General features: G+C 37.0%; 1 protein-coding gene and 1 pseudogene across 2 annotated transcripts in view; one reads left to right on the plus strand and one right to left on the minus strand.

Annotated features, from left to right (window-relative positions):
* TMC1 (transmembrane channel like 1) overlaps window positions 1–21,492 on the plus strand; it is a 316,690-nt gene that overhangs the window by 199,320 nt on the left and 95,878 nt on the right. For both annotated transcript variants that reach the window (NM_138691.3, XM_017014256.2), the window contains one exon: window positions 19,192–19,282. In NM_138691.3, the coding sequence (NP_619636.2) occupies window positions 19,192–19,282 (91 nt within the window). The remainder of the gene's footprint in view (window positions 1–19,191; window positions 19,283–21,492) is intronic.
* RPS27AP15 (RPS27A pseudogene 15) lies at window positions 20,193–20,728 on the minus strand (annotated as a pseudogene).

The raw sequence follows: 21,492 nt of genomic DNA on the forward strand, positions 1-21,492 counted from the left end.
TACATGTTTACTTATTAGCTATATTTAACATATCCTATGTGCAGGACCAGCTACATAATTTGCATGATGTAATGTAAAATGCAAATGGGGGGCCCCTTGTTAAAAAATACTTAAGAATTTCTATTATTAAGAATTTTAAGATGATGAAAGAAACCAGAATATGCCAGCTCTAAATATGCCTCATTGACGTAAATATTTTTGAGCTGAAGGGAATTAAGAAGCACATGCAGAAAAGCTCTCTGCCTCTTCTATTTGCCTAAAAGCAGGACAGAGAATTACAAAAACAAAAGGTCTTTTATGTTCCTCCTCCCCTTTCCTGCCTAAAGACAAGATGTAAATTCTCCTTTACAACCTTTACCAGCTGAGAGCCTGCTTCAGAAAAATCTGGGAACAGACTTGACTCTTTCCCACAGTTCTCTGGCCTTTGGAAGCTTAGGGCTGTTTTCCTCTTTGTCCTGTCACTTCTCTACAATGTATTGATCTTGTTGAATACTTTGTATTAGCTGGGATTCTAAGCCACACTGCCTTGAGTTACTTTTCACCTGCGTGATGTTCATGTATTAATAGACTTGTTTGTTTTTCTCTTGTTAATCTGTCATTTGTTACAGGAGACTGTCTCAATTAAAAACTTACGAGGGTTCAGAAAAATTATAATTTCTTCCCAACAATGACAATAGCAGAGCATAAAACTAAGCACAGGGCCCATGTGAGTATGGGGTCCTGTAACAGTGCAGGTCACAGGCCTATGAAATTGCCCCTGCCTATGAATTTCACCTGACTATTCCAAGCCAAGAGCTACTTATTATCTATGCTGAACATTTCTAATGATTTCCATCTTTTCCAATAGCAGAATTCAGTGGTCTCAAATAATTCAGCCAACTCACATTATAGAACTCAAGTCTATGTAACTCCAAGTCACTGTTCATGCACTATAGTCATGGAGTTCTTTTTAAATACCTGTCATCCCCATGTTCAAACCCTTCAATGTCTCCCTAGTAATTAACAAAATTTAGTCAATTTTGCCTAAAAAATATCGGTGAGCTCCACAACCTGAATTCCAACTTACTTTCCAAAGCAAACTCTCATTAATTACTGATGATGACCATGAGGTTTTGGAGAGGGACAAAACCATCTCCAAATGTTTTTGAGTGTCTCCTGTGTATCGTGTCCTGTACTAGATGTTTTACACATCAACTCATTTAATCCTTATGAGAACATTGAAAACAAAGTTATCCCCATTTTACAGATGAGAAAATTGAGATTGATAGAGGTAAGGTCACCTTACACAGTTATTAACTGTGAGGGTGGATTAAAATCCAGATTTCTCTGTCTCTAAAACCTCAGGCTTTTTCTACTGTGCCATACTACTTCTAATTTGAACTGTATTTTCCAGTGAAATGAGATTAATCTTCCCTATAGACATGCCAGGTACCTGTTATCACTTTATTCTGGTATCCGCTCCATTTTTTGGCATCCTATGCTTCTTCCATGCCTGACTTTATCTCCCGTTTGAGCCTCTTTCTCTGCCAACGCCCATAGAAATAAAATTCAAATGAATTCTCTTGATTATTCATTTGGCTCTTCTGTTAGGCAGCATTGTGTTGCATTTTTAAAAATTATATGTAAATCTCCATTTCAGAAGAGATTTTGAGCTCCTCAGGGCACGAAACGTATCACATAGCTCTTTATTGTCTCAAGTACTAGCATAGTGCTTTGTATGCAATATTTAATTAATATTTTCTGTGTGGGTGAAAATGTTAATGTCTTTTTTGTTGGACATTCATTTCCAAAGCAGAACAATTAACATGACTGGATGTTTAAAGGGTCTGGATGAATAGGTGAGTGAAGGACAGAAATGTGCTGGTAAAAAGCCCTGATCTATAGTGCTTGCCAATTTCCGTGGTGTAAATACTTCCACTATAGCCAATTTTAAGCTACCAACAGTTAGAGCCAACTCACAAAATTCTTGAAAATTTCATAATCAGTGGTTTTGTGTGAGCCAGCATAAGTCAGCTTCGGTATCTCTTTGAGGGATTTAATAATGAACTCAACTAAGGTAAAACTGATCTGGAACAACTGAAAGCAGAGGTTAAAGTAAAATAACTCTGTTATTTAATCTATAATCAACTATGAAATGCTTGAATTAGAGCTGCCTGTGAGAAGGAAAAACAATGATTCCATAATGTGAAGGCTCCAGACAAAGGCCAAAAGTGCATCAATGACTTCTTATCCCAGTTTTTTAAACTAAAAAAACTGCTAGCTAAATGATTTTTGTTTTATATGACTTTTGTTTTATATGACTTTTGTTTATATGACTTTCCTCCCAAATCTGTTAGCATGCATAGAGTTTCAGTTTTTCTTTCATCTTCTCCTCTTCTGCTCATTTCTCTCTTTTTAAATTTTATCATAAAGTGGAACACTTTTTATTCAAGAGAAATCAATTCTTGATTGAGATCAGAAATCTCTTGCCATTCACATTAGAGTTGATCTACCACAATTGCCTGCTTCATCATTTTCATTCTATTGGAATAAGTATTTACAGCTATAAACTATCCTGCATCTTACATATTTCTATTAAACAAGAACAATGTCCGTGACAGTTTTCTGTCTCAGGATTTATCTTATTAATATTTATTGTATTGTTATGAGTGCTTAGCAAATTATTGTGGTTAACTTTACCAATGCCTTTCAAATAATATTTTGAAATTTTCCCTGAAAGGATATTGAGAAAAGCCAAATGTAAAAATTATTGTTTTTTTTCCTTGGGATTTGCATGTTTTGAAAACGTTCTCAATTGTTAGGGAAGTCAGCTGTAAAACACAGGCTAAATATACTTTTGTCTACCAAGAATTCCCTTTACTTGTCTGTTTCGTGATTTGTTTAATCTTTCTTAGTTATGCATGTACCATTTTACCATAGTTACCTGGAGATATTCTTGTCTCTGCCTTAGTTTGGCAGGCTTTTCAAGTGGCTCACTGAGCTACTGTTTCTATTTCTTTTAGAAAGTTGTGGAGGCATTTATTACTCTCATAACTGCCTCAAAATCTCAAGCACATGGCCTAGTTAAATCATCTTGAGGTTCTGCCCATATGGTTGCAGAAGGATATTAGTCATTGGAAAAAATGGGTCTAAAATGATAATATTCAAAGATGTTTTCCAATATTCTTGGCAATCTTATTCACTAATTTCCACGGACATTTAATTAGCAAGAATTTAAAGAACCTTGTTTTAGTTTCCTGCTGCTGTAATAGAATATCACAGACTGGATAATATATAAAGAAAGGAAATTTATTGGGCTTATGGTTCTGGAGGCTGGGAAGTCCAAGAGGCATGACACTGGCACCTGGCAAGGGTCATCCAATGGTGGAAGGCATCACATGGTGAGCAAGGACGAGAGACAGGGAGAAATGGGGCTGTATTTATCTTTTTATCAGGAGCCTACTCTGTGATACTAGCCCACTCTCATGGTAACCACATTAATACATTCATGAGGATAGAGCCCTCATGGCCGAATTATCTCTTAAAGGTCCCATCTCTTACTACTGTTACAATGGCAATTAAGTTTCCAATACATAAACTTTAGGAGACATAGTCAAACCATAGAAATCTTAAACTTCAAATAAACAGGGATTTTTTTTAGTAGCACAGTATAAAATGATAATAATAAATATCAGATATAAAAAATTTCTGAAGTTCTTTTTAGATAGATAAATCATGGTTACTATTATCTTCTTAGTTACATTTCATTGCACCCTATTTTCTGTGGTATTATCAGTCAACATATTATATATAGTAAGACACATTAAATTTTCTGAGCTTGCCAGGGCATCCTGTCCCCTAACAGTTTTTGATAATGATTTATCAAATGTGTACTCTTTAGAATTTTAGCTGTCAGTAACAGTTGATTTTCACAACTTTTATTAGACTATCCATGATGTTTTTTGGAAAGGTAGTTAAAAGGATAAATACATTAATTATCATAAAATTATCTAGGAATGCTTTTAAATACATTTGACATAATACATTAACACTAAAAGGAAAGCAAATATGCACCTAATAAGCACAAAATAAGATTAATCAGAGAAATGTGTCCTTGCTGTTTTGGGGAAGAGTTATCCAGATCTCAGGTAAGGTACTTTTTGTGGAGATAACCTTCTGTTTTATGAAGCTTGTAACAAGATAACAATCAAGGCATTTTTGTGGCCATGTTTATGTATATGAGCAAGCAATGGCAAGTGAGATACTAGTTTGGGGGCTTAAATAAGATAAAAGTAGTTAAACTTTATTAAAATGCACATATTAAAATAAATTTTGAAATACATTGTATTCAAATATTGTATTAGGGTTCTCTTAGACAACTCATAGGATACCCCCACACACACATTTTATGTGTGTATGTATATATATATATATATATATATATATATATATATATATATATGTATATACACACACACATGCGTACATATATATACAGGAGTTTATTAAGTATTAACTTACATGATCACAAGGTTCCACAACGGCTGTCTGCAAGCTGAGGAGCAAGGAGAGCCAGTCCCAAAATCAAAACTGAAGAACTTGGAGTCCGATATTCGAGGGCATGAAGCATCCAGCACAGGAGAAAGATGTTGTCGGGGAGGCTAGGCCAGTCTCTCATTTTCAGATTTTTCTGCTTGGTTTATAGTCACTGGCAGCTGATTAGATTGTGCCCACCAGATTAAGGGTGCATCTGCCTTCCCCAGCCCACTGACTCAAATGTTAATCTCTCTCTCTTTTTTTTTGAGACGGAGTCTGGCTCTGTCGCCCAGGCTGGAGTGCAGTGGCACGATCTCGGCTAACTGCAAGCTCTGCCTCCCGGGTTCAAGCCATTCTCCTGCCTCAGCCTCCCGAGTACCTGGGACTACAGGTGGCCGCCACCATGCCCGGCTAATTTTTTGTATTTTTAGTAGAGACAGGGTTTCACTGTGTTAGCCAGGATGGTCTCGATCTCCTGACCTCGTGATCCACCCGCCTCAGCCTCCCAAAGTGCTGGGATTACAGGCGTGAGCCACCACGCCCGGCCTCAAATGTTAATCTCTTTTGGCAGTACCCACACAGACATGCCTAGGATTAATTCTTTGTACCCCTCAATCCAATCAAGTTGACACTCAGTATTAACCATCACAAATATCATAACAAATCGTGTGAAAGGAGGAAAGGGGAATAGTTTTACATTTCAAATATAAGGGGTCCAAGATTCCCTTTTATAGTTATAAAAATTAGAAATTTTTAAATGGTATGAATCACTTATTTCAAATAGTTGTATTTATGATGCTTTTGTAATATATATGCATAAGTTTACCTATATATTTATATATGTGTGCATGTACATATAATGTATAAATACACAAAGGCACTCATATCTACATAATGATACATGATTCTTTGGATGAATTAACTTTTACATTTTATGCATACACTCTTATTGTGTTTCTTGACCAGTGCTTGGTCACAGGGATCAGGACAAGTTAGAAGGGAGGCTATGGGAGGACACTGTAAAATATTAACACAACTTAATTCTGCAGAAAGGCCAGTTCACATAGGAAGATGGTGTCCTCTGAGGGTGCACTTACCCAAGCTGTGTTCCCCAATTGCTTAGGACAGTCTTCCATGTCTAAGTTTGTCATGTGGCAAACAATCAAATTTACCTGGTAGTCCTAGTGATTTGCAGAGCTCACTGAAATGCCATCGTTTAAAAGCATCATTTTAAATTTATTGTCCACTGATAGATCAAAAGATAGAATACCCTATTCCAAGAGAAAAACTAAAGACTTCTATTAGAAAAATTTAGGTTTAGCACTTCTAAATATCACTATACAACATTTTGAAAAATGTTTTGAAAAAACAGTTATAATGCTTAGAAACATTTAGAAGAATATAAGCACACAGGTATTGTGTTGAAACACATTACCTACACTTTCAATGCAGGATGCTTCTTCTCACTATGGGGCAGCACTTTGTGAATTTTTCTGTTTCACAGTATTCAGAATTCATTAGAACATGTTTGATTAGAATGCACATGAGGCAAGCAAAATTAGCACAGTCTGTCTATCAAGCCACGTAGATGGCCTTGCAAAGAGCTGAATGCTAGTATATCTAAGAATATGAGATTATATGTATGATTCATGGTGGAAATGTCTCCTTTGTTAGATAAATTCCTGCAAACCAATGCCTGGAATGCCCTCTCTGCCTACTCGAATTCTATTAGCTCTTTAACATCCATTTGAATTCTTATCTCATCTACAATATCTTCAGCAACTCTGAAGCCTCCATTGTCCTCTCCCTTTTCACTTCAAGGCTGTCTTGCATTGTTATGTAACTATTTCATGGGCCTAGATCTCATTTTTCTTAATAAAGTTTAAGCTGTAGAAAGGAATTCATATATTTCCTTGATTTCTTTTAAACACTTAACACATTAAGAACATAAAACATACCCAGTAATTACTTAAAGAAAAAAAAGACTAAGTAAAAGGGACAATGAAAGAATAATAGAAATAAAATGAATTTGTTTATCAGCCAGAATTTTGGGTGGGTCCTCCTCATAGCTATGTATAGCAATCTATAATTTCAGTGCTATTTCTACCTACTTCTAATAAAAATATTCCCACAGTAAAGGGGCAAGGGGAAATTCCACCATTTTGCAACATTTTGGTGATTAGAATTGTTGAGATATGGTTTTAGACAGAGTTTCCTTCTTATTCTTGGGCTGGTGATTTTAAGATTCATTTGTGTGTTTTAGGTCACATTCTCCCCAAATCTCATTTTTGCTCAACACAAGAACAGTAAGAGTAAGCTGGGATGCCTTAGTGATATGGCCTGGAACTCTGCAGCCTACATAATACTATCCCTACCTTCAGGTATTAGTGTTGCTAATAACATGCTCAACTGATTCATTAAAACAAAGGACAAAAAAATAAACAAACATAAAATCATTTTCATAGAGCTTAAAGAGACTATCCAGAGAGACATTTATAAAGTTACCATTATAAAATGCTTCACACTAAAAAAGAATTCTTTACAATAATTTGGTTGTAAATTGTGTAAAATTCTTTTTCCCTCCATCAATTTTAGATTTATTGGTTGGAGCCTTGTAAGTCAGACTGACAAAAGACAGATTAACAAGAGAAAAACAAGCAGAAGTTTATTACCATGTATATCCCTCTTATTCATGGGAGATGAGTAACTGAAAGAGGAGGTTAGAACTTGAGCTCACATAGCATCTTAACAAAAGAACAGTACATTTTTAAAGAAGTGACAAGACAAAGGAAAAGGACTTTGAGTTTCTAGGATGGCAAATGATGGGAAAGCAAATATATGGGGGAACTAATGGAAAATAAGGACTATTTAGTAAAGCTTGTCATGCAGATTCCTCTGGTGCCCTCTCTTGACTGATAAGTCTGGAATAGTCTTCAGTGATTAACTTCTGTCCTTCCAGGTAAGAGGGGAATGAAAATAATACCTTTATATATTTATCTCCTGCTTTTAGGCAAAGGGGGAGAGCAGAGAGCTTTTCTTGTATCTGCTGCTTCTTGATTGCTTTCATCTTGAAATAATCTTTATACCATATTTTTGGCACATTTTGGCATAATATGGCACATAATCCTGACATGGCATATTTTGGGGTGCCATATTCTGCTACCCTCCAAATTGTCTCTACCCTTCTATTATCTTAGCAGATAATAGTACAACCTCCCAAATTTTGGTTTCCTTCTGTGAGGAAAACACAGTTTGTGCTGTGACCAGTATTGTAGCTCCTGGGGAAACCTGTGTGGTCTCCTCTCTCTTCTCCCTGCTACTGTAATACTAACAAAAAGAATGTTTAAACCATAAATTGAATCTTAAAGCAATCAAGTACAAATCAGAGTTAGGAAAAGTTTTAATCAGCAGGTAGAAAAAGGATCTAGTGTGCTTTTATTTTTAAATTTTTCATTAATCCACTAAAGCCCAGCTTGTTATTTTTACCTTGTTTCATCTAAAATTACCCTAAGATGCTGGCATGACCTCTAGGGTGTGACTAAAATGTGTTTGAGTCTTTATTTGACATTTAAGCCAGCCATGAAAATTAGCATTGGTTTAGAGCTCCAGGGAGCAAAGAAGTCATCCTGAGTCTGAAGAATTTCTGTGGCTGTAACTTGGAATTTCATACAAATTTGACCTGTCCAAGACTTGCTTTAATTATTCACTAACACCAGCATCTGGCTTTAACACATCTTCATGAGTATCATCAGAACTAGAGAAAAAAAATTCCCTTAAGAAATTTTTGTACATAGGTCACTCTCATGTTTGTTGCTAATAAAAATTTTAGAGGTCTTAGTAATCTAAAAAATATATATTTTACCTGTAAAGTGGTACTATCCAAAAGGAACTATACCAAAATACGTCAGACATAAAAGTTAAGAGGTTATGAAAATGTACATGCAATTCTCTTTTTGCTTGTTCTTAGTTTATTTACTGCTTGTTTTCAGATAGTCAGGTAGTTACTCTTTAGAGATGTAAAATAAAGTATGGACATGAAAAGTAGTTATTTACCAAAGGCAATTATCAAGTATCAAAACATGCAGAGTACTTACTGCCAGTTCAGGGAGACAACAAAACAATTATATATAATATAGTAGCTTTTTAGCCCAATCTTCCAATAATTGCTAGGCCAACATGCTAAATTTAAGAGTTCTTTACCTCTTAAATTTAGTAGTCTCAGTAAATAAAATTTGTTTAGTTCTGCAGGGGCAGAAAGATGTGATACTTTGTCCCTATCATAAGGTCAAGGACAACACTTCTCTAATGAAAGAGGGTTCACAAGAGAAAAACATAACACATTTCTTTAACCAAAGTTTTATATGACATGGAAGCCTTCAGAATGAAGATTTGAAGACCCAAGGAAAAACTGTCCATTTTTATGCTTAGATTCAATAAAGTGTGAACAGCCATGTAGAAGTGTTATTAGACAAACAGGGAATTATCTAATAGTAATGAACTGAGTGGGGAAACCCAGCAATACCTGTCCAGATTCTTCTTGGCCTCACTGTTGTAACATCTCTTCACCCTCCTGGCTTATTTGGTATAGTTCCTTTTAGACAGTACTACTTCATAGATAAAATATATATATTTTGATTACAAAGACTACAATTTTTGTCAGCAACAAACATGAGAGTGTTTCTTCCTCCCTTGACCTACTGTTGACCAAGACTAGGTCATAGAATTTCTTTATGGCCACCTTCTAGACAGAAAGGTAGAGAAGGTTAGAGTAATAATTCTTGTTTTTATGGCCGGCTTTGGGGAAAAGGGGGTTTTAGTTTCTACGGCCTGCCCTGGGGAAGGGGAATTCTGAATTCTATGGCTGGTTTTGGGGAAGAACAAGGGGTGAGAGGTAGGAGAGCAGGAGAAGGTCAGAGAGACCTTGGCTCTGATGCTGCTACTGAGGCCTTCCAGTGTCCTTTAGTTCAAGGTGCTCGGCATGCCAAAGCAGCACATTCAGGATATCATTTTCTGAGCCCAACAGTTCCATATTCTGCCCCCAACTTGTTGCACATTGGAATTGTTCATGGACTTACAAAAATATTGATGCCATATCCCAGCCCTAGAGATTGTGACTTAATTTAGCTGTCCCCAACCTTTCTGATACCAGGGACCAGTGTCATGGATGACAATTTTTCCATATACTGGGGCTGGGTGAGGAGATGGTTTCAGGATGATTCAAGTGCATTACATTTATTCTGCACATTGTAATATATAATGAAATAATTATACAACTCACCATAATGTGGAATCAGTGGGAGCCCTGAGCTTGTTTTCCTGCAACTATACGATCCCATCTGGGGGTGATGGGACACAGTGACAGATCATCAGGAATTAGATTCTCATAAGGAGTTCACAACCTAGATCTCTCGCATGTGCAGTTCACAATAGGGTTTGCACCCCTATGAAAATCTAATGTGACTGCTGATCTGACAGCAGGAGGAGCTCAGGTGGTAATATGAGTTAGCAATGGGTAGTGGCTGTAAATACAGATGAAGCTTCACTCACTCGCCCACCACTTGCCTGCTGTGTGGCCTGGTTCCTGACAATCATCTGGTCTTCTCACTGGTATTCATTTGTTCAATTAGCATTTGTTGAAATTCACATCTATGCCAGGTGCTAAACCCATATCTGTGCCAGTGGCCACGACCTGACAGTCATCTGGTCTTCTCACTGATGTCCATTCATTCAATTAGCATATGTTGAAATTCACATCTATGCCAGGTGCTATATTAAGTACTGGGAAATTAGTACAAAAAATATAGACCTTGGAGATTCCAGTGCAATGGTAAAAATGGACTAGAAAGCAACACACTGGGATAACTACTGCAGAAAGGTCAGAGGTTAAGTCACACTACCTAGGGGGTGGAGGAGATTGTTGGAAAGAAAGAAAGGATCAGGAAAGGTTTTGTGGAGAAGCTGTAGTGTTGGCCTAACTCTAGAACTGAAGATAAAGAAAAGGAAGAAAATAGGTGTAGGAGAAGAGAAAGGGTATCTTAGAGAAATGAAACAGCATATGTAAAAGCCTGGATGCATTAGAAATCAACTTGCAGCCAGCCTCTCATCTTATGTTTTCTCTAACTTATCTTGTATATCATTGTTGAAACATTTTTCTCACAGCACTGTATTACACCCATCAATTTCCTGCTCAAAAATACTCTGGATCCTTACTAATAACAGAATGAATTCTGCACTGCAGACGTGACATTAGGGCATGCCAGATCCTCCTCTAAAGCATTTAAACTGTCCTCTTCATTGTCTATCTGAAGACCCCAGGTATGTTTTCATCTCTTCATTTTTGCTTATATCATTCCCCTGCACCAGAATGTCCCTCCTACTCCTTTGACCATGTAACTGAATCCTCCCTTTGTTCAGGGTTCCTTGATACCACTCCATCTCTCATCTCAATCTTTTAGCATTTATGTTTACTTTTACTATTCTTGTTTGTTGGTAATTAGATGGTGCCCTAAATATTTATCTATATCTTTACTTTTTAATGAAATTGTAAATTCCTTACAGAAAAGCATAGGACCACATTCCTTTATCTCTCTTTCTGCATATGGTACAATGCCTTAAAATAAACAAAATTTATTTTTATTACTGATAACAAAACTGAATGACAATAATATAATGAGTTTGGAAAATGGAGAAACCAAGCATTTGCATAATTGCCTAGTCTTTGATCATTGATGCACACTACTTTTACATAATTATAATGAGAGTATACAAATTGTTCTGTATTCTGAAATTTTACTTGACATTGTATCATCAACATTTGCTATGAAAAATAATAAATATCAGCTGGGCAAGGTGGCTGACACCTATAATCCCAGCACTTTGAGAGGCCAAGGTGGGCGGATCACTTGAGGTCAGGAGTTCGAAAACAGCCTGGCCAAAAGGGTGAAACCCTGTTTCTACTAAAAATACACAAAAACTAGCTGGGTGTAGTGGCACAAGCCTGTAGTCTTAGCTACTTGGGAGGCTGAGACATGAGAATCTCTTGAACCCAGGAGGCAGAGGTTGATTTGAGCCAAGATTGCACCACTGCACTCCAGCCTGGGCAGACAGAGTGAGTCTCTGTCTCAAAAAAAAAAAAAAAAAGATAAATATCTTTGGATAATAACTAAAAGCATCATTTACCTGGTGTGCCAGGTACTGCTTTGCTTACACTGTTTCAACTTTTGTATGTATGTCCTTATTCCAATTCCATGAGGTAACACTGGTGTTATCCTGGGGAAACTGGGAGCACTGAGCTCAAAAAGAGTAGAGCTGTGCTACTTACTAGGTGACCTTGGATACTTATTTTACTTAGCGAATCCTCAGTTTCCTTATCTCTGAGATGGGGATAATAATGGTTCCCACCTTTCAAGATTTTGAGGGGATGAAGTGAGATGATGGACACGAATAGTGCCTGGCAGATGGCCAACACTCAGTGTGCTTTAGCTCTTGCTGCCGTCACTGTTGCTGGTCCCATTTTACAAGTCAGGAAACTGGATCAAAGGCATTTAATAACTCTCCCCAAATCACACACCTGGTGTGTGACAGAGCCAGGATTCAAACCCCTGTCCCAATTATGACATGAGATAGGGATCACAGAATTTAATACGATGTTGTCCAAGTGTAACATTTTACAATTTAGTGCTACAGAGAACATGTGCAGAGTTTTGAGAGAAAACACAGTTGGATATCTACAGATTATCTTCTGCTTGGAGAGAAAGAGAAATTGAGAGAGATAGAGAGAGAGAGATTCCCAGGGGCCCGAGCTCTCTACAGCAGCACAGCATGGCTGGGTCAGGGCTCAGGATAGAATTCCTGACTGCCTCCTCCCAGGCGGTGTCATAACTGGGGCTTCTGAAGCCCAACACCTGGGCCCTCTCCTTGGGTCTCAAATGGAGGGTTGAATCCTCTCATGCTCACTTACTAACAAGAACAATTCCCACTTTCAATGGGGTAACAGTCTGAGGGGAAATGGGCTAGGGTTTTGCCTGGAAGTACCTAGTTATTTCTTAACTTTGTAGTTTGGAGATTCAGCATAAAAACTGAAGTCAGCCCTGTTAGTAGTATTGCTGCTTATACAGCCGTCCACCCTTATCAGAGGGGAATACCTTCCAAGGCTCCCCGTGGATTCCTAAAACCAAGGATACTACTGAACCTGATTGCTGTCAATCAGAACATATTCCTGTTTATGTCTTCCACCACACATTTAATGCCTTTTCTATCTTAACTAACCACTTATCACACACTGTGGCCATAACTTTTGCAGTTTGAAGTACAACAGAAAAACTAGCAAGAATTTCTTTTCCCTTCTTCACAATTTCAGGAAGAGAAGACGTCTTACCATAGATCTTAGCAACCTCAGCATACTTTTTTTTTTCTGCCCTCATTAGGTTGAGAACTTTCCCTTATTCACTTAAAGGAGGCACTTTGTGGCTTCTCTTTGGCATATCCAAATTGCCAGCATCACTAAACTTATGCTTTGGGGGCATTATTAAGTAGAATAAGGGTTACTGGAACATAAGCATTGTGATACTGTGACAGTCAATCTGAGAACCCAGAGGGCTACTAACAGGAGGAGAGTGCAGACTGTGTGGATTTGCTGAACAAAGGGAAGATTCACTTCCCAGGCTGGACAGCACAGGATGGCATGAGATTTCATCATGCTACTCAGGACAGCACACAATTTAAAACTTATGAATTGTTTATTTCTGGAATTTTCCATTAAATATTTTTGGACTGCAGTTGACTACTTGTAACAAACTGTGGAAGGCAAAACTGCAGATAAGGGGGAACTACTGTAATAGTTACTGCTTATACTGCTCTTGCTATTTGCCATGGACTAAGCTAAACACATTACATACATTATTTTCTATAATGGATGTGACAATCCTACAGAGTAGCTACTATTATCTCCATTTTACAGATGAAGCAACTGGGCATCTTAACCATTCCAGCTACTGCCATCAGCATTTGCCTTAGGAAAAAAATGTGTTTTGAATAATCACTTCCAGTATTTGGGATGATTTTCAATAATTCTACCAGCCTAACTATGAAGTTATATTATCTAGGAGGCCTCTAGTTCTTATTTTTAATCTTTGTACCTTCGAGTAGCTTCTTACCTCTGTAACTCACTCCCACAGTAATATTTCATGAGAAGCCAGATTCTCTGGACTATTGGTTAAATTCTTTTAGATGGCAGTGTTTGTTATGAAAAGACTTTTCATTCTTCTGGTCCCTTCACTGGAAACAGCTAGAAAGTACAAGTTTTGATTACAGTTGCCTAAACACCAGTTTTGAAATGTCTTTCATTTGCTTGAGCAATAAATTTGTTGCTCAATCATACTATCAAATTGAAAACAAGAGGAAAGGAAAGTCAACCTAACCTAACCCAAAAGGGGAACATGTTTCCTGGGATGAGAATGTGTCAAAGGCAGCATAGCATGACCTAACACTTCTGTGTAATCGTGGTTGTATCATGTGTTATGGGTAAATTATCTATTCTGTAAGTTAGTCCAGTGTGTGCTTCTTCAACTAACTGTGAAAGCATTCTTGAAAGACCATGAAACCTTATTATTCTAATTACCAACACAACGGATTGATAAATGAATGATGAGGCCAGGTATTATTGTCATTAAATAGACCTCGCTCAATTATTTATCAATGAGTCTGGGGTTACAGCTCAGAGAGCTGTGCATATTGTAGCACGGTTTGCTTCAGCTCTGAGACCTGAAGACCAGATTACAGTCTTGGCAGGTGGCTTTTGTTGAATGCAATTCAAGGGGGTGGTACACATTTGTTTCAGTCAGACATTTGGATGGTTTGAGGCCAACAGATATTCAAAGTTTATCCACAAAAGCCTATTTCATTTTAACCATGTAGAAAAATCTCTTTAATTTATTCAGATAAATACAAATGAGTAGGAGAATGGATTAGCTGTAGAAAATCATACATGTAAAGATGTTTTCTTGCATCTTAGTGTTCTAAAGACTGTTCTTTATTTTCTTAGATTCTGCTATCTGTCATGGACACTTCACTGTTCTGTATTGATCAATGTTTATCTTCATATGAGATTTGTTTTTGTATCTTCTTTCTAATTGTACAATGAAATATGTTTTCTGGTTAAGAAATACGTTATCAAGGAGGATAGAATTGGGTGATACTAGTTTTTTTCCATCCTGAAATCATGCCAGCTCATTGCAAAGGTCAGCCCTCAAAATAGTATTAAGGCATGCCCTCTCCTTGAGTCTCTGATACCTTGCAGCCCAATGTCCCTTCTTGAAGGCCTGTCACCTGCAAGAGTACTTTCTTACATCCTATGAGCATCAGATATGGGGGAATGAAGAATCTCTTCTTGCTAAACAAATATTCTTGGTCCACCTTCTGCCCCCTGGCTTTATTTTAAACCCATCCCCAACATATCTGATGAGTTGAGTCTAGTAATTCTGTCTTCAGTGGGCTATGGGGAGCAGGGATTAGCTAAAATGGCTGTTCAGGGACCTCTTTGGTATAAAACTTGGTGGGGGTGCTGGCAGGGATCTCTCAGAGAATGAAGGAGGGGATAGAGCATTAGAGAAGAAAAGAAATTCATACCTGAGATTATGTAATAGATAATAGAGTCTGGACTTTGTTTAAAAACCAGAATCTAAGATATATATGTTGAGGCTAGGGCGGGGTAGTAATTGAAAGAGAAATATGAAACTATACCTAGCGTCAAGGAAAACTAACAGTAATTGAAGAGACAAAAATAAAACTTGTTTATATTGTTCAAAGGAAAATGATATTTATAACATCTGACAAAAACTTTATTAATGCCATGTAGACAGGGTTTTATATTATTAACTGAGTTTATAATTAATTTTGTACTGATTTTAATTTGACTGTTACCTTGGCTTCCTTCTCTGTTTCTTAAGTTTTGCTAGTTTAATGTTCACGAGCTCACAAAATTAAAAATCTTGGTAGAAATATGGAGTAGCTATTTCTTTACATCCTTTTTAGAACAAAGTTGTGCTTTCGAATTGACCACTTATCTAGAAAGTGATATAAATCTAATAAGCAAAACTGGATGTCTTTTAAATTATCTGTTAAATAACTAGAGCAGTGGAGATGTCCTGAAAGTGAGCACTTTATTACATATGAAAAACAAATTTTAATTTTACTACTAAGAAGAATTTCCATTTCTCTATTTATATGTGTTCATTATTCTAGAGATTAATATGATAACTCCTATGTATACTTAGTTTTGTGAATTTCAAAATTCTTGATGCCAAATAACTGAAGTATAGTAAATTCTGCCGTAACATGATGTATGGGTTCCTAAAAATCCCGACACTATGCAAAATTGGGCAATAAAAACACATTTTACTAAAAAAATGGGGATAGGCACACAATACCTAGAAATATCACTAGTGGCACATTACAAAAAATATGGGAATTTAGTAACAATGACAGCAATATTTTACACATGTTAATGGTTAAGAAATTTACAATAAATATGGCAGTTTACTTTGAAAAAGACCTAACGTTCCCTGTGGAAGTTGGCCTTCAAAAGGGTGCAGCTTGTGAGTTTTTGAGAAGTGTTGGGAGGAGAGTCGTTGTTGTCCCAGTTGTGAGCAGGTGGGGCTTTTCTACCTGTGTGGGGAAGTGTGGTAGCTGATGGATATGGTATGTGGATTTTGTGTATTCCTACGCTGCTTGGTTTAGCTGGGTGCAGTTTTCTGCATTTACCTGGCGTTTCTTGTGGATAGAATCACATATAAGCAAATCCCAGACTTGTGTTGTGATCAAATTGTTCCGTAATATATCAATCATGTTAGAACAAGGTCACGGTTTCAAAACCGGCATTGCCGTAGAATTGACTGTGTAATAATCCCTTCAACACGTTCACATCTATGATCCCACCTTGTTCTTGCCACCATCTTAGCAAGCAGGGGTGCGATTGCCTGACCATTTGTTTGTTTTCTGGGAAATCTTGACCTATTAAAAGCCACACAGTTACTGAGGAAACCTGTGTCAGACCTTGCCTAGGTCTGTGTGAGTCTGAGTCAGGTTTGCTTTCCTCTGAAAAATCAGACACTCATGTATGTGGGACAAAGAGCATCAGAAACATGGGCAAGGTCATAGAGACAGATCCCAGAGACTGGATTAGAACCCAACTTGCTTGATTTTCTGCTTAGAGGCTTCAGTTCACCATTTTAGAAAGTGCCTGCTGGCTGCCACCCTCCCTCCTGTCTTATCACCTCTAAAAGACATTGTTAATGCTTAGACAGGATGTGTTTTCTTCATTGCATGGATCTAAAAACCCAGCCATGAGAACTTAGTTTTTAATTTTTGCCATTGCTTTATTGGATATTTTAGAATGTGCAAAAGGTTTTAGAAATTGTTTTTCAACTAATTTTACCAGCACAGAGGTCATGTCAAATGTCAGGGTGTTTGACAACAAGGCCAATCTAGTCTATCAATTGAGTTTCAGAGAAGATTAATGATAAAGGGTGCAATCCCAAAGTCTGGGAATGACTTTGCTTTCAAGCATTAATTATTGTGGAAAATAAAATTATTAGATACTCCCTTGTCTACATCTACCCCAAACTATGTCAATCAGCTCTATTTCTAGAAGGTTTACATTTATTAAACACTCCCTGTGGTCAATGCAATGGTCAATGCTATGGAAGTTACAACAAGACAAGATATTGTGTCCGCTATCAGGAAACTGATTTGGGAGTTCTGTTTGATGACCGAAGAGAGTCTTTACCACTGTGCCTATATTTTTATGCCAGAATATGGGTGGGTGCACATGTACAGGTGAGTAATGAGGCCCCACTCCCTAGTATTAGTTAAGTTAGCAGGTGTGTGCTGTTTTTTTGGTCACTGTGTATTGCAAAATTCTGAGTTTGGCACTGATACTAAGGAACATCTTACAGAAAAAATTCCCCACTGACCCTTCTTTTTTTTTTCTTTTTGAAACAGAATCTCACTCTGTTGCCCCAGGCTAGAATGCAGTGGCACAATCACAGCTCACTGCAACCTCCGCCTCCCAGGTTCAAGTGATCCTCCTGCCTCAGCTTCCCCAGTAGCTGGGACTACAGGTACACACCACCACGCCTGGTCGATTTTTGTATTTTTAGTAGAGGCAGGGTTTCACCATGTTGGCCAGGGTGGTCTCGAACTCCTGACCTCAAGTGATCCACCCACCTTGGCTTCCCAAAGTGCTGGGATTACAGGTATGAGCCACTGTGCCTAGCCAGACCCTTCATTTTTAAAAGTTGACTTTATATGTTAATAGGAGTTTAATTATAGTCATATGTTGAAGGGTCTTTTCTGTAAAACCACATATTCCAGGAGCCATCCAACTGAGGACAGCATTGCACTTGTGGAACCACAATCCAGGCTTGGGTTATCTGTTTCTATCATGACAGAGGCTACTCCATCACTTAAACTATATGTTCTGCAGCCCCCGAGAGCTGAAGACAAGCCTGGATTGCCTCTATTTGTAATTTTCTTTTTTGTAAATTTTTTTTTGGTAAATTGTTTTTCAAACAAACAACAAAAATGACTGTCCCAGTCAGTTCAAGCTGATAGAACAAATGGCCATAGACCGGGTGGCTTAAACAACAGCCATTTATTTCTCACAGTGCTAGAGGCTGAAAGTCTAAAATCGAAGTGCCAGCATGGTCGGGCTCTGGCAAGGGCCTTCTCCCAGGTTGCAGATGGCTGGCTCCTTGTGTCTTCATGTAGTGGAAGCAGGGCTAGCTAGCTCTCTGGCCACTACTTACAAGGGCACTAATTCCATTCATGAGGGTTCTACCCCCATGGCCAATTACCTCCTAAATACCCCACCTCCAAATACCATCATGTTGGAGATTAGATTTCAACATACAGATTTTGATAGGGACAAAAACATTCAGTCTATAACAATGATCAAATAAGGTTACAAAAATTATAGTGTATGTAGCATGCTTGCATTATGTTTTGATGAATTAATGTTTTTTATTATGCATACCAAAGAAACTAATGCAACTGCTGTAAATGTATAAATATTTGGGAGTAATGTTAAAGTTTACATTTAAAGCCCTTTCTAAATGTGAGGCCGAAAGTATTCCTTTTCTCTCTCTTTCTCTTCTCAACCCCATTTACTTTACAGAATGATTTTTCTGTTTTAAGTCATAATTGCTTTTTTTTTACAGGATTAAGTACCAGGTCATTAAGTGTGTTCTATGTCAGTTTGACCTAACCTCTCTGCCCTTTTCTTTTTTCTAAAGGAATTCTTTAAAAAGAAGAAGAGGAAGTATTTTAAAATAAACATTTGACTGCCAGAATGTGATGTAAACTTCAGGTTCAATTCTACACTTGATAGAAATGAAAAGAACTAGTGTTCTCTATTTTGACATTTAGCATCAATTCCCTTTCAGTGATTCCAGCTGATTAGTAAGTGAGACTAAAATATCTTACTCTTCCTGGTCAGCATTTAAAAATTTAAACATGGATTGAAAATTTCTAGGTTATGAAATACAGTCTAGGTTCACCTGTGAAGGATCTAGAAGAAATAAGACTGCAGACCTGGTAAATTCAAATGTCCACTACTTCTGTATTCTAGTCATTGCAACTCACCTCCTTTTATCCCTTATGTTATTTTTATTTTCTCAGGGAGGCAAAAAAATTTGTGAGTGAAAATGAAGGGGCTCTTGGGAAAGGAAAAGGAAAACGGTGGTTTGCATTTAAGATGATGATGGCCAAGGTAGGTATTTTTATAGTTGTCTGGTTTATGGCATATTGCCTCTAAGAAGAACACTGGTTCTTTTCTAAAGGGGTGAAAAAAATCTTACATTTTGTATATATAAAACACAAATACTCATACAGTATATACACAGTATATCTGTGGTATTGAAATTTACAGGGGAGATTTAAAAAATTGTTCTTAGAAGAGTTAAAATGAAAAATAAGTCAAGAAATACAGATTTATGGCAAAAGACTTACTTGTGTGACTTTAGCACTTCCAAATATAAAAGATTGCATCCTTTTTCATTTTCATTCTCTGGAAGTGAAGGGGTTCTGGTCAAGTTGTTTTTCTCAAAGTATCTGTATAGTTTTTTTCTACCAGGAACATCAACTATACATTGGACAGAAAATAAGAAAACAATAAATGATATACTGATACAAATATAGATTTTGGGGAAAGACAGAAAAGCAACTAACATTTATTTAACACTTACTATGTGCCAAGCACTGAATTGAATTCTTTTATAAAGTTATATTTAATTCTTACAGTAAAGTAGGAACATAGATATTATTATCTCCTCTTTACAAATGTTATACCAACTGTAAGCTAAATGTATTCCCATAAAGTTTTGTGAATAAAGTTCATATATCCTAACTTTCATATATATATATACTCACATACAATAGATTAATTTTGTCTGTTTCTACAGTTTAAATAAATTGAATCATATAGTATCTATGCATTTGTTTCTGGCTTCTTTGATGCAATGTTATGTTCACAAGATATATCCACGTTGTTGTGGGAGTTATACTTCATTTTTATTCATGTGTTGTAGTCTATTGTATAAAGATGCTGTGACAATGTATTTACCCATTCTATTGTAGATGGACATTTGGGCTGTTTCTAGTTATGAGTAATCTTTTTTTTTTTTGTTCATTTTTAAAATTAACTCATACACAATTACTTGTCTTCTGGTTTGTTGAAACAATAATGCAGACATTTGCTACAACAATGACTGTTAAAATGGCTGGCCACAAAATCTCCAGCAATACATTAATCTGAAGGGCATTCTTGATGAAGTTGACTAATTTTGCCATTTTCATCCACCTTATAGTATTTCAGGACAGCCAGCTTAACCTTCCTTTTCTTATGCTTATTCTTCTTTGGAGTGGTGTAAGACTTCTTCCTTTTCTTAGCACCACCATGAAGTCTCAACACAAGATGAAGAGTAGACTCCTTTTGAATGTTGTACCCAGACAAAGCACATCCATCTTCCAGTTTCTTGCCAACAAAGATCAGTCTTTGCTGATCAGTAGAAATTCCTGTCTTATCCTAGATCTTGGACTTCGCATTTTCTATTGTATCCAAGGGTTCAAACTCCAGAGTGATGGTCTTTCCCATAAGGGTTTTTAAAGAAAATCTGTGTTTTGGTGGTGGTTCCACTGCAGAAGGCAGATGGGAAAAAAAGCGTGGGTGATCTTTTGAACTTCAGACTTGTCTCATGCTATTATTTAGACAATAGTGCCTGTCCAGCTCCCACTTCATCCCAGCATTTGCATACATGCAAAATTCTCTGCCACATTCTCATTCTTCCTGGTGGTCCTCTTGACTATGGATGACCCAACATTGGAGTTAAATAGAAAGAAGGCCTTTTGCAAAATGATTTTATGACTTGTTGTCTTCTCTTTCAATTAAGCTGACCAATCTGCCTCTACCAGAATGCAGTGTCTCATGTCATACAACTTACCATCTTGTATTGAACTCACCTATTTGTACACAGACTATCCTGGTAGATCAGAAGGCTTTCAAGACAGGACCTGGAAATAAAAGACAGAAAATAAAATTTATTTTGTTTATTATTTTTATTATTTATTTTATTTAATTATTCATATTGAGTCCTTCATACAATGAAAACTAATTAAACACATACTCTGTTCCAATCACCCTATTATGTGCTAATCCCCTGCTTTCTTATTGTGTTATATAATAAATAGCTGTTTCTGAGAGGCCAGCATATTTTCCATAAAACAGGGGATCGATAAACATTTTTTTGTTGAATTAAATTGGTCTGGGGTTAGTGGAGAACAGGGAAACAAGTGAAACCTACTGTTTCCCCCTTTGACTAGAAAGTAGTATTTGCTGCCAGAGAGACATTTCCAAGCTTACTGCATTGTAATGTTTTGAGGTGGGGGATAAACATCTTGACAAATCAAGAGGTTGGACTTTAC

Source organism: Homo sapiens, chromosome 9 (assembly GCF_000001405.40).
Source record: "Homo sapiens chromosome 9, GRCh38.p14 Primary Assembly".
Taxonomy (NCBI): Eukaryota; Metazoa; Chordata; class Mammalia; order Primates; family Hominidae; genus Homo; species Homo sapiens.